This window comes from Homo sapiens, chromosome 11, assembly GCF_000001405.40.
Source record: "Homo sapiens chromosome 11, GRCh38.p14 Primary Assembly".
Classification (NCBI taxonomy): Eukaryota; Metazoa; Chordata; class Mammalia; order Primates; family Hominidae; genus Homo; species Homo sapiens.
The window spans coordinates 30,791,394-30,805,414 of record NC_000011.10 but is presented as its reverse complement, the minus strand read 5'-3'; the positions used below and the strand labels follow the sequence as shown (position 1 = coordinate 30,805,414).

The following is a 14,021-nucleotide window of genomic DNA, read 5'->3' as shown; positions in this document are numbered from 1 at the left end:
TGATAATAATTGTCAATAGTTGGCAATAATTCTTAATGGCTCTAGTATAGATATGACCTACTTTGTCCTACAGAATTTACTTCTTGGCTTTCTAAATATCTATGCTACCATAATTTAATAAAAAGAATCAGATGATTTTTGTCCCTCTTGATGGAGTCTATGATTTCTATTTATGTAGTTGGCTCTTAACACATTGCAGATAAGCTTCCCTGATAGTTTTTTAAATCACAAATATAAAACACAGTTAAAAAATCTCAGTAAACCAAGCCCAGGCAATTATTTATCTTAAGTATGTAATTCCGTTATCTGTTCTTCTATGAAAAATGAATTTTAAGGACTCCATTTCATTGGTTGTCAACTTTTATTTTAGATCAACCTCATTCTGCATTTTTTAATTGTTGCCATCTTTCTTACGTATTCCTTTCAGTTTCCCAGCATCTCATGTTTAGCAACACACCTGAGCATATGAAACAGAAAGAGAACAGTGAACTCTGAGCACCATCCATAACTTTCCACCAGGCAAATGGGTTTAAGATCAGACAGACCTGGATTTTGGTTCTGTATGATAGTAAACAAACAAACAGATGAACTAAGCATCTTCTATTATATTCTCAACAAAACATTACAAGACTGTTGACACCAGATTTGTGGGATTTTCCCCTTACACTGCAAGCAGTTCTCCAGTGGACACTAATGGGGTGTCCTACAATTTAACTCGATTCTGACAATACCTACCTGGAGTTGGAGTCAGATCTCACAAGGTGAGGACTCAGCACCGCAAGACTGCCCCTCGCTCCAGATGCTAATCACAAGTATGGGCCTCTAGAACTTCTGACTGATGGGCTATAAATTGGTGTTTTCTAGAACCCCCTCAGGTTTGCTTAATTAGCTGGAGTGGCTCATAGGATTCAGGGAAACACTTTATTTACACTTGCCATTTTATCATAAAGAATATTACTAAGGATACAGATTAACAGCCAGAGGGGGTGAGATACACAGGGCAAGGTATGGGGAAAGGGGCTCTTGAACCTCCATGCTCTTTCCAGGGCACCACCCTCCTAGCATCTCCACATGTTCAGCAACCTTGCATCTCTCTGAACCCCAGAATTCAGGGATTTTTATGGAAGCTTCATCACATAGGCAAGATTGATTATTAACAATCTCCAGCCCCTCTCTGCTTCCTGGAGGATAGGGGCTGAGGCTGAAAGTTCCAAGCTTCTAATCATGGCTTGGTCTTTCTGGTGACAAGCTCCAATCCAGTAGCCCATCAAGAGTCACTTCCTTAGAAAAAAAGACACATGTATCACCCAGAAAATTCTAAGGGATTATGAGCACCATGTCAGGAACTGGAATCAAAGACCCAATATCAGAACCAAAGATATACCTAGCACCCCTATTAGTCAGGAAACTACAAGGGTTTTAGTAGCTTTGTGCCAGGAACCAGGAGCAGAAACAAAATATATATTTCCCATTATACCACAATATCACAGGTTTATATATGAAGATTTATACATGTCTGCAATTCTCTAATTCCGAAAACACAAAATGAAAATAGTAATAATCTCTGTCTTAAAATGACCATTGTGGGAATTATATGAGAGAATGCAGATAAAGTGTTTAGCAAAATGCTAGCACATGATAAACACGCTCAAAATGTTATCTATATTATTATTAATTATTATTATTACCACTATTTATTCTCTAACTTAATACTGGATCTCTATAAAGAAGAAAAATCATCGCCAATACCCTGCAGAATGTTCTGAAGTGATAATGCATCTGGGAAATTAGTTGGAAGTGAGAGTAAGATAAAAGTTTTCCATTTTTATAGAGCTCAAAACTTCCTTCATTCACAGTGAATATTCTATTCCAAGTATATTAGTTTTCTGTTGCTGAGTAACATATTGCCACAAACTTAGCAGCTTCAAACAACATGCATTTCTCCGGGAGCTCAGAAGACCAGAACCGTGTGGCTGGATCACCTGCTTAATCTTATAAGCCTAAAATCAATGCAGAGGTCAGAATGGACTCTTATTTGGAGGCGCCGAGGAAAAGTCCATTTCTAAACTTACTCTGGATGTTGGCTGAATTCTGTCCCTTGAGGTTGTAGCCTGAAGGTTCCTCTTTTCTTACTGGCTGCCAGCTGAGGTCCACTTTCAACACTTACAGTTGTCTACATTCCTTGCCTCATGGCCCCTTCCATCTCCAAGTCACCAAGGCTGCATCAAATCTTTCTTGTGCTTGGAATCTCTGGCTTCCCTGACGCTGCCCTCTAGACCTGAATTTAAAGGGTTCATGTAATTACATTGAGTCACCTCGAAATTTTTTGTATCTTAATGTTGACTAACTTGAGGCCTCAATTACATCTGTAAAATCCTTTCAAGGCAACACTTAAATTAGTGTTGACTGAGTAATGAGAGAAGGAGTGTATATACCCCAAGAATTTTGAGGATGCTCTCAGAATTCTGGCTACCACACTCAGTGTGTTCTCTCATTTAGTGATGTTAACAAGACTCAGACGTGAAAAGAACTGTGGTCTCTTCCTCCCCATTTTCTCATGGGACCAGGATACCTCTGAAACAGCACTTGCTTCTCTCAGGGATATTCAGAGGTGTCTGCCCAGTTCAGACCCAGTGCTTTAAAAGAGGTTGGGTGATTCATCTCATGCAGACTGAAAGCCACATTCATCAACAAATAGAAATTATTTAATATGAATTTATTTTCTTACAAGAGCTTTGGAAATCTTTATTTTAAAAACAAAGCTTAAAAAATAAAGTGTATCAGGATGTTTTCCTTATATAAACATAAAACATACCTGAAAAATTTATATGAACCAACAGAGGAAAGAAAAATAATCTCTAGTCCTGTCACATAAATCTAGTCCTTTAGGCATTTTGGTATATTTTCTTCCAATCTTTTTTCTATGTATTAAAGTTTTTTAATAGTCACTCTGATACCAAATATTAATTTTTGTTTTCTACTTTTTCCCACTTTGCATTAAAGCATAAGCAATTCCTTATGTTATGTTATTTCATAATCTTTTGATTATTGCCTCGTGTCTCCTGCATGAATGTAACTATAACTTACATACCATTTTACCTGCTGTAGCTGCTTAGGTTTTCTCCAATTTCCCATTATCATAAGTACTGTTTCAATCAAGAGCTTTTTGCGTAAAACTTCTGCATTTAGTATTATTTTCCTAAGAATTGTTTATAGAAATGAAATCTCTTAGCAAAAGATAGAAGATTTCATTTTAATCCTAACTTGATATATTTCCTGAGATGTTCTTAACAGAATTCCCCTTTGGTCTCCTTTTAAATGTCACTTTATTCTCCATTGTTGAAATTGAACTGGGGATAAGATATTGATTAGCTGCAACCATTGACTACTCATTGACTCTCTTTGCACTTGGCAAAATAAAGTTCAGAACTCTCCTGGGAGTTGTGAGGGAACAAGGGACCAGGCAAAGACGCCACCACTGCTGTTTGAAAAGATATTTCAAGGACAGTGAAAGCAACAAATCCTGTAATTGTCAACCACAATGAAAATAAGCTAGCTTTAAATAAGAAGACCTCACACATTTACTACCACAGTCTCTTTCTTTGTGACATTATCATTCCCATGCTGTGGTACCTAGAGAGTTATGTGGTCCATGAAAAAGGATAGCTCAATGTCACTTTTGTGTAACTGCAGCTTAATAAACATTTTTAGGTCGTAAGTTGACCATGAAGAGATCATTTTAGTTCACCTACATCAAAGAGATCTCCCTTTTGTTTTGGCTGTGCTTTGGCAGACAAAGGCCATGAACTTTGGCCGTGTTTGTTTTTGTTTTGTTTTGATTTTGGCCCTGCATAGTGCTGTCAAAATAAAAGATATGTTGCAGCTGTTCTTTGAGAGATTTATGCCCATGTTGTCTCTTCCCTTCCATCTACCTCATAGATAGAAGACAGGCTCCAGTGGTAGACGTTCACTAACGAGGTGGAGTAGAAATAGCATGAGCTATAGCAACAGCTAGATGGAGTTGCAAATTCCTGTTCTTCCACATATGGCCTGTGGGACCAGGGGCAAGTAATTTATTTAATTTTTATGAGCCTTTGCTTTCTCATCTGTAAAATGGAAATGGTGATGCTTATATTGAAATGTTGTTTGTAACAAAACTTTTCAAGACTTCACCAATCCAAAATGATTATGCCTCTTAGTTCTTACTTGGTGACTTCCATCTCAGCACATTTAACCACCCTCCCCCACCACAACTGACCACTTCTGAATTATTTTTGGGACTTCCAGGTACATCTCCTGTCTACATTTTATTCATTTACTCAACAAATATTTATTAAGGTCATACCAGATGCCAGGCACCAGGGATCAATGAACAAGACAAATAAGGTCCCTGCTTTTGTGGAGTTGACATTCTAGTGAGAAGAGAGATAAGAAAACAAGATAAGCATATTTGTATTAAGCAATGATGAGGACCACCAAGGAATATAAAACAGGGTTGGGGTAGAAGATGGAAAATGGGGAATGAGGTGCCTGAGGTCTCTCTGGGGACAGATAGTTGAGGATATCTGCCAGCCACTTAGGCCATTTGCTTCATAACTGCTTCTGCTGATGCATTCTTAGGAGGGAGGGCCTGTGGTCTGTGGTTGGAGGGAGTTGCCAGTGCAGTGGGATACCCTGATTCTGTATTTCCCTCCTCTTTTGACTTGGTTGAATGATACCACTCAGTTCCCAAAGTGCAATGCCTCCCTATCTTTTCATGAACCTAGAACCAACCGTTGGGTTCTTGCCCTACCCCTTCCATCCCAACTGTAAAGACTAAAGTATTCCTTAATGTTCTTTGAAAACAACTCAATCCTTCTCAGGTCAAAATAAAAGCTCTCATGCTTATCAACTCATGCACATGAATGCTTTGATGGGGAACACTGCATCTACCATCCAGGTGCCAACCAGAAGGGAGTATGTTAAGTCCTCACTTAACATTGTCCATAGGTTCTTGAAAAAGGAAACTTTAAGCCAAATGACCTATAATGAACCAATCTGTTTTCCATCAGTGTTACAACAAAATGACATTGAAGGAAAACAACATTATTTGAAGACCTGCAGTATATCATTTCGCTTAAAGTAGCAGTGTCCAAGAACCTATGAAGGATGTTAAGTGGCAGTTGAATCTAGCTTTCCCACTTGCTAGCTTTGCAACTCTGGGAAAATTGGTGTCCTTATCTGTAAAAGGGCCAGGAATAAAGCTCTACCTCATGGGCTGTTTTTTTTTTTTTTTTTTTTTTTTTTTTAGAATAAAACAAGGTAATACAGATAAAGTGCTTCCAATCATGCCTGCCAAATAATAAATGCCAGTGGGTTTTATCATTACATAAAGGCAAAAGGCCTTAGACAGTGGATCCATTACAAGGACTCAACATGAATCCTAGTTGATTAAAAAATAATAAAAATACCCTGGGTGTGGTGGCTCACGCCTGTAATCCCAGCACTTTGGGATGCCGAGGCGGGTGGATCATGAGGTCAGGAGTTCAAGACAAGCCTGGCCAAGATGGTGAAACCCCATCTCTACTAAAAATACAAAACAAAAAAAAATTAGTTAGGCTCGGTGGCAGGCATCTGTAATCCCAGCTACTTGAAAGGCTGAGGCAGGAGAATCACTTGAACCTCGGTGGCAGAGGTTGCAGTGAGCTGAGATCATGCCACTGCACTCCAGCCTGAGTGACAGAGTGAGACTCCCTCTCAAAATATGTAGATATATAAATAAAAAAGTAAAATAATAATAATAATGAAAATAAAGGAACTATAGGATCAGAGTTTGGTGGTTGTCGTCTGGGTAGGGGGAGGTCCTATGTGATGCAAATTGCTATTGTGACCAGGCCTTGTTAGAATTAAGAGAACGTCTCAAGTCTTAACAACTTATTAAGGTAAAGAAAACAGTCAATTAAAGTCCAATTGAAAAGACAAAAGCCTGCCTCAGGGAAAATTATAAAAATATTTTTGGTTGAGGGGCAGTTGGAAGAGTTTCCCTTAAGAAATGTTGTTTGATTTACTCCAAGTCCAAAACCACTTGGAAAAAAAACAAACAAACAAAATCAAAAAACAAAAAATGGCCAAGGGACCTTATAGAGCAGTCAGCTATCTTCTAATAAGTCAGTGACTAAACCCCTGTCTTTAATGAACTTCATTTATTCTTGTCCCAGGGACGCTAGAAGCCCTTTGCTTAGTACTTTAATTGCTTTCTTTCTTCACTGTTTAAAGCCAGCTTCACAGGTGTAGACACAGAACTTAGATCATACCTTTAGTGATGTTCAAGCGGGAGGTAACACCTTACCTGAATGGCTGGTCGCTAACCTGTATGGGGTCATCTCCATGGATCCCTGCATATAGAAACCAACCCTTGGAGACTGCTCCAACCAGGTTCTCTCAGTAACCAGACTGCCTGAGGCTGTTTTTAAACTATAAAACCCATAAAGTGAAATTTATTGCACTTTGCTGTATTTCACTAGAGTTAGAGGGCTCTGATAAAATTTACTGCTTAGATGTAAAACTCTATTGGTAAGAAAATGAACTGTTTTCTCAGGCACTCCTGTTGGGCCATTTTGATCCTTGTCCTGAATCCCCAGACCTTGCTAGAAGGCTTTCCTCATTTCAGCATAATTGAGGACAGGTAAATATAACAACTCCAGCTTTTCAGACTTGTGGCCAAGTCTGACAGGGCTAACCTGACCTGCACCCAGAGGCCCCAACTGATTCTGCTACTGCTAACATTCACCTTGAAAGACTGCACAGTTTGCCATGCTTTCTCTTCTAAAGAGTGGAGTTGCAAATGGTGGTAAGAAGCCTGGCATGCTGAGGGTTGTGTTTGCTCAGGAAATGAAGATGGGAGTGGGAGGTGGAAAGGAGGGTAGTGGGGTCATCCTAGAGCTTCAAAGTTCATTTAATTAGACAGGACTTTTTCATTGTGCTAGGATGTTGCCTTCATGACCAGAATTCACCGCATCTCAAGAAAAGTATTGTGGGGAACTAATAAAAGACGTATTTTTCCAAGATCTTGCCCTCTCCAAGAAAAGTATTGTGGGGAACTAATAAAAGACGTATTTTTCCAAGATCTTGCCCTCTCTCATCCTCTTCAAAATGTAACAGAAAGAGGGGAAGATGAAGAGAGAGAGAGAAATAAAGAAAAAAAAGGAAGGAAGATGGAAAGGCAGAAAGAGGGAAAGAGAGAAAAAAGGGATAAAGGAAAAAACTTTTCGATGAAAAAGCCTGGCAATTTCTTTTTTGTTCTACATTTCCTCAACATATCTGCCCAACAGTAAACATTCTTCACTTAAAATGTGTGTAGATGTTTGTGTGTATGTGTGTGTGTGTTTGTGTAATGCAGTAAGTCAGTGTTTCCCCAAATGTGGAATGCCTGTGAGTGCTATGAAAAATGTTTTAGGTGAGCAATGGATAAATTTATTTGAGTACTCATGATTTATTTTGACATAGATTGGAAAAATACTGGTTTTCTACTTATCGCAGTGATGAAAAAATATATTTTTAAAAATAAATGGCTGGGCGCGGTGGCCCACGCCTGTAATCCCAGCACTTTGGGAGGCTGTGGCGGGCGGATCACGAGGTCAGGAGTTCGAGACCATGCTGACCAACATGGTGAAACCCCGTCTCTACTAAAAATACAAAAATTAGCCGAGCGTGGTGGTGCATGCGCCTGTAATCCCAGCTACTCAGGAGGCTAAGGCAGGAGAATCACTTGAGCCTGGGAGGTGGAGGTTGCAGTGAGCCGAGATCGCGCCACTGCACTCCAGCCTGGGTGACAGAGCGAGACTCCAATCCCCCCCAAAAAACCAACCAACCAAACAAACAAAACCCATATTCAGTAAAAGAAGTCCATGTAAAGAAAAAAAATGACTCATAGCATCATAGCAAAACTTCTTACGTGGTGCTAGAATGACCAATGTTTGGAAAACATTACAGTAAAGGAACTTGAGACATCTGGGGGAAATAAAATTGTACTGTCTTTGTTTTGTCTTGTATTTTTTGTATCCCTCTCCCCCATCCACACACTTTTTGGGGCAGAGACACTGTTATGCGCTCTCCACACTGTTTTGTTTACTGTTTTGTTTCCCTCTTGAGCACATGGGAAGATAGCAAGTCCTTACCCTCCCTCTCCACAATGGGGCCTTGTGATTACTTCTGGTCATTGTAAAGTAGGTCATTGAAATGGCTGAGGGGAAGCTCGCCATTTTCAGGCCCATCCCTTAATACATGATCTTTCATGAGTTATCTTTCTGTCTGGTCATCTGATGGCTGATTGCAGAGGGCCCAGCTGAACTGGTTGCTTCCAGGAGCTTACAGTCTCCTCGATAAAATCAACACATAAGTACCTAATGATACTGCAAGGCAGATTGATATACATGCTAAAAGAAGGTAACACAGGATGTCAAGGGATTACAGGGGAAAAATGAAAATGTAATAAAAGCAAAGACAACAGCAGCATTTATGGAGTTCATGCTATGTGCCAGGACTTGTGCTTAGCACTTTACTTGCATTATCCCCTTTAATCCTCACTGCAACCCAACCAAGAAAGAAAGTAACATTTAAGAGGTATAATGACTGGCCTGGGTTCCCTTATTTCTTGTCAAGGCCAGAATTTAAATACAGGAAACTTGAAAAGGAGGCCAACTTGACTAGCATACACAGTCTGATTAGCTGCAGAGATGAGAAAAAGTGGATGAGGTAAAGAGAGAAATTGAAGATGACACCACCATTTCTAGACAATATGCCAGGAAAAAAGGAATGATTATTAACCATAATACAAGTTATTGCCTAATCTCACCTATTTCTTGGTGAGAACAAATATTTCCATTTATATCATGTGAAATTTAGGATACTGATGGGTCTCTTGTTGAAAATGATACTTAGAAATGCAAATCCGTGTATCAGAAGATAGGTCAAGCCCCAAAATAAAGATCTGGGGGTCATTAGCACTCAGGAGCTAAGTGTAACCAGAAAACAGGTCAAAATCATTTAAGGAGAGAATGCAGAAGAGGATAAGACCACTGATAATACTTGAAACTACCTTTTGCTTAAAGACAGAATAACAAAGAGAAGTAAAGTAATTGACAGAGACACAAAGAAACTGCCAAAGAACTAGAAGGGCTCTATATAGATTCAATGTAATTCCCTTCAATAGCTATCTTTGTAGTGCTCATTAAGTCTAAGGCACTAAACTAGGCTTAGTGGATGATGCTGTATATAAGATGCCTAAACACTTTCCTTCTAACCAGGAAAGCATCCTTCCTCCTGTACATATGATAATAAAGGACTAGAAAGAGAGAAAGGTATGTACAGTCAATTTCAAAGATGTTCTACCTCTGCTGCCCTTTGAGACTGGATATACACAGGAGACCACTTTGATCAAATGAATTAAATGAGTTTAAACAAACAACTAGGCAAATCAGCAAACAACTTTTCCCACCGAATTTTTCTAGTCTTTTTCCTGTTTTTTTTCTTTCCTGAAAATCTATGATTCTAATGTCTCCAATCCTATTCTTTTCACTATTCCCAAATGCAGGTTAAAGTTGCTTTGTCATATTAAAACTAAATAGAGGAGCAATTGTTTTTATGGAGCTGAAGGATTATAGAGATGCAGTATGGTTAGAAGGGACCTTATGGGTCATTATGTCCAAAACTGTTTACTTTTACAGATGAGGAAAATGAGTCAGAGGAAAGCTGAAGTGATTGGACTCTTATTGTCAGTGGCTGGACAGGGCCAGACCTGGAATACCAATCTCCTGCTTTCAAATTCAACCCTTTCTCTATCATATGTTTCCCTTCCTACAATTTGTCCACAGCCGCACAGCTAGTTGCCAGTCTCCTGAAACTAATATTTCTAAATATTTCAGTTCTACAAATTCTGGTTATTAAAACGTAGAATACCCCATCAAATCCTTTGGTCAAGTGATGTCCCTTAATTTGAACTCAGATTGTGAAACAAAAATTAGACACAAACCCCCGCAAAGAAGCCAGGATCTTACAAATGCCATAATATCTTTCCTTTGAACATAAGAAAACATTTTTTGATTCATAGATTGAAGATTTGCCAGTAGAAGGATGAATAGAAGAGAGAGTAACATAGATCAATACTGTTTTCTTTTCACAAACTCTGAACTAGTGAAGTTGTAACTTTTTTCATATTTACCCTTAGTAATTACTTTAGCAATAGACATGATTTGTATTGATGCAGTAACAACTCATGAGCATATATTATTAGAGGATGAAAGATACATTGAATCAAGTAGTGTTGAATTAAAGAGAAAATGGTTAAAGAAATTCACTCCTGGGCTGAGAAATTATATGTCAAGCTATAGCCTAAAGTGAATTTTTATGGCTGAGTTACAAACCCTTGGAAATACTGAGACACTTAACTGCAGTTGGTATCTTTACGATTATATCACCTTTAGAAACTAGCAGATTTGCTCCAGTGCAGCTGCAGCCCCAGGAAATGAGGAAAGGCTGTGCTGGAAGGGGACCTGCATACATTTTGGGCCATCTAATGAATAGAGGAAAAGGATGGGCTTAGGACCAGGACAAGGAAAAGAGATGGGGCTGGGAGGCTGAGAATAGGAAACCAAGGGGACAAGGGGAGCAGGAAAAGGAAAAATATGAAAAGGGAGAGAAATTGAGACCATTTGAATGTCAAAATAATTATTACAGATTAGAACCTATTAAACACTATTGAATAGAATAGGAATCCATGAATCAATACTGATATAAATTAATTAATATATAAATAGGGAAGAAGCAGATGCTCTTTTTAATAATAGAATACCAGCTAATCAATTAAGAATGAATGATGGAATTAGAAAAATCATCATTTGGCCAACATGGTAGTAATAATTGATTCAAGTAAGAATGAATATACTGGCTACAATAGTGGGTAAAAATTAGATGAGAAACAGGATACTTACATACCCTCAATGTCGCTTCCCATAAGACACTTGTAAATTACAAACGAAAAATGGTAGTGGAGAATCTGGTAGACACAACATTAAGGAAGATGTCAGAGTTGACTTACCAGTAATAGGACAAATAGACATTATATGACTTCTGATATAATGAATTGAAGACATAACATCACTTTCGTGTTGTTCCTGCCTAAAATGTGTTACTGGAGTCTGGTCATGAGGAAGCCCAAACTGAGGATAAACCCTAACTGAGGAATATTCTACAAAATAATTGGATGGTGCTCTTCAGAAATGTCAAGATCATTAAAGACAAGGAAAAATGGAGGAAATATTCCAGATTAAGGGAGTCTAAAGAGACAGGAAATCTAAATGTAACGTGTAATCTGGGATTAGACCCTGGTTGAGAAAAATGAAATTTGCTATACATTTGCTCTGCAAATTAGATAATAGTGTTGTATCAATGCTATTTTTGGATTGTAATAACTTTACTGTTGTTGTGAAAGAAAATATCCTTATTTTTATGATTAAATATTTAGGGGTTAAGGGGCATTTGTCTACAACTTATTTCCAAGTAGCTTGGAAAATAAATTTATATTTATGGAGAAGGAGAGAGCATTTGAGAGAGAGAGCAAGAGAGCTTGATAGCAAGAGAGAGAGACAGCGCATAAAGCAAATATGGAAAAATGCTAGCAGAGTATTTAGGGAAGCTCAGTGGTGGGTATATAATTATTTGTACTAGTCTTTCAATCCTTTCATGTATCTGAAATTATTTCCAAAAAGAAAGTCTTAAAGAGAAAGAATAGATGATGTTTGTAGGGGGAGGAAAGTGAAAAAGAGATAAGTATTCAATATAAAGAAAGAGAAAGAAGAAAGTAAAAGATCACAAAAGGGAGAATAGATGAGGAAAATAAATGTGTCAACTCTAATAAAGAACTTTGGTTTTGTGTACTTACAAAGTCTATTTCAAGGCCCATAAATCTGGGAGCTCATAGATTCTTATGAGTTTAAGAACTCCCGGAGCTGGGCTGCAAGATATAACAGGCAGGCATGTGAGTCTTTTCTTGGGAGGTTTGCTGACTTTCTTTAGATCAGAAAAGATGGCCAACCCCCTCACCCACCTACCTGATAAAGCTTGAATGTGTTTCCATCCAAATCTCATGTTGAAATGTAATCCCCAATGTTGGAGGTGGGGCCTGGTGGGAGGTGACTGGATCATGGGGGAGGATTTCTCTTGAATAATTTAGCACGATCCTCTTGGTGCTGTCCTCACAATAGTGAGTTTTCATGAGATCTGGTCTTTTAAAAGTGTGCGGCACCTCCTCGCCTCTCTCTTGCTCCTGCTTTTGCCATGTGATGCGCAAGTTCCCTCTTCGCCTTCCACCATCATTGGAAGCTTCCAGAGGCCTAGCCAGAAGAAGATGTCATTATGCTTTCTGTGCAGCCTGCAGAACCATGAGCCAATTAAACCTCTGTTCTTTATAAGTTACCCAGTCTCAGATATTTCTTTATAGCAAGAAAGAATGGCCTAACACACCAACCCTGCCTCAGAGTTTAATAAAAGATGCCCATTTAGACACGATATTTACTAGCTGCTGAATCTACCAGACTTCTCAGTAGCCCCTTTCTTCTTCAAACGTTCTCAGGAAGAGGAGAAAGGCTCCGTCCTCCCCATAACAGCTTTCCTAACCTTTGTGAAGCCAGTATGTCAAGAGACGTTTGGAAGTGTCTGTCCTTCTAGAATTTGTCAATTAGTCTGGTCCATGTCAAAGGTAGGAAAATCAGAAGTGATCTCTTGCTCAAAACAAAAAACAACTTTCTTTGGTATGGCAGAAAGGACCAGGCCATTGCCAGAGGACTGTTTCTTTGAACATAGGAGCCTCAGAGAGGCTTTGGGGAAGAAGATGTGTAGAGGGAACATGGGGTCCCTATCTCTCAGCAGAGGCCATGGCTTCTGGGCCACAGTGATCAGGCAGTGAATGTGTTCTAAAACCTCAGGCCAAAGAAGAGAACATCAGTCGTCATTCAAATGTCTTCTCTATTCCTGCTCTTCTTCACTTTCTGCAAGATCCTTCTTAAGCAAAAGTGAAATGTGTTGCCTCCTGTAAATAGAAAATTCCATAAGTGGGCAGCATCAGACATTGTGTACAAACAAGTCACCAGTGCTCTTTCTCTGGCTCTCTCCCTTTGCTTTCCTTTCTCCCAGTGTCATTTGCAGGCATGTACTCTCCTACATCACAGTTCTGAGTAGTTCTGGATTTGCACGGTCCTTAATTAGGGTGACCACATATCACAGTTTGTCCAGAATAAGTCCAGTTTACATCTATCATGCCAGCATGTGTATGGATAGCAACCCCTTTCACTCTCAAAAATGTCCTGGTTTGCATGATAAATCATTCACTCACTATATTTTTAATTTTCATGATCTTAGAAGGAGATATTAAGGTGAACTCTTATTAAAAAGTGTTGCAAAAAGTCTCTAGCCCTGCTAATGTCACTTGATCACCTCTCAACCAATTACCATCTCCCAGGGGATGAGGTTTTCTGGTTGGTCAGTTGGTCATGTGCCCATCTCTGATGTTAACAAGTCATGTCTTTGTAATTGATGGCCCTGTCAGAATGGGAGGACTTGTTCTGGAAAAGCAAAGAGACTAATAAGCAAACATGAAATTAACATGTGACCCTTATACAATACACGCCTGAGGTTCTGCTCATATTTCATATAACTAGTTGGCTGGTTTTTTATTTCACATTTTCCATTTTCCTCCTCTCCTCATCCCCATGATTTTGTATTGCCACCCTCCCAGCCCCATCTCTTTTCCCTGAAGTGGTCCTAATTGTTATTCTCTACCTCTAATGAGCTGCAAACTCTCAGAAATCAAAGCTTAGACATAGAAACAGATCTAGATGGTATAGATATTGATATAACTATAGATATAAATATAGATCCCCATCACAGGTAGAAGGCCCTTATGCCCAGAGGAAATGCTCTCCAAATGTCTTTAACATGAATTAAACTTGGCCGGGTGTGGTGGCTCACGCCTGTAATCCCAGCACTTT

The 14,021-nt window shown here is 39.0% G+C and overlaps 1 long non-coding RNA gene across 4 annotated transcripts in view; it reads right to left on the bottom strand.

Annotated features, from left to right (window-relative positions):
* Window positions 1–342: 342 nt before the first annotated feature.
* Window positions 343–14,021, bottom strand: part of LOC101928338 (uncharacterized) — a 74,787-nt gene continuing 61,108 nt past the window's right edge. For 2 of the 4 annotated variants that reach the window (XR_001748480.2, XR_001748484.2), the window contains exons 3-5: window positions 12,087–13,063; window positions 11,918–11,989; window positions 343–2,278 (exon numbers count right to left, since the gene is read on the bottom strand). This is a non-coding gene — a long non-coding RNA (uncharacterized LOC101928338). Of the gene's footprint in view, window positions 2,279–10,967; window positions 11,033–11,917; window positions 11,990–12,086; window positions 13,064–14,021 lie in introns of those variants that run through there. The other 2 variants (XR_242862.5, XR_007062640.1) reach the window with 2 other exon arrangements.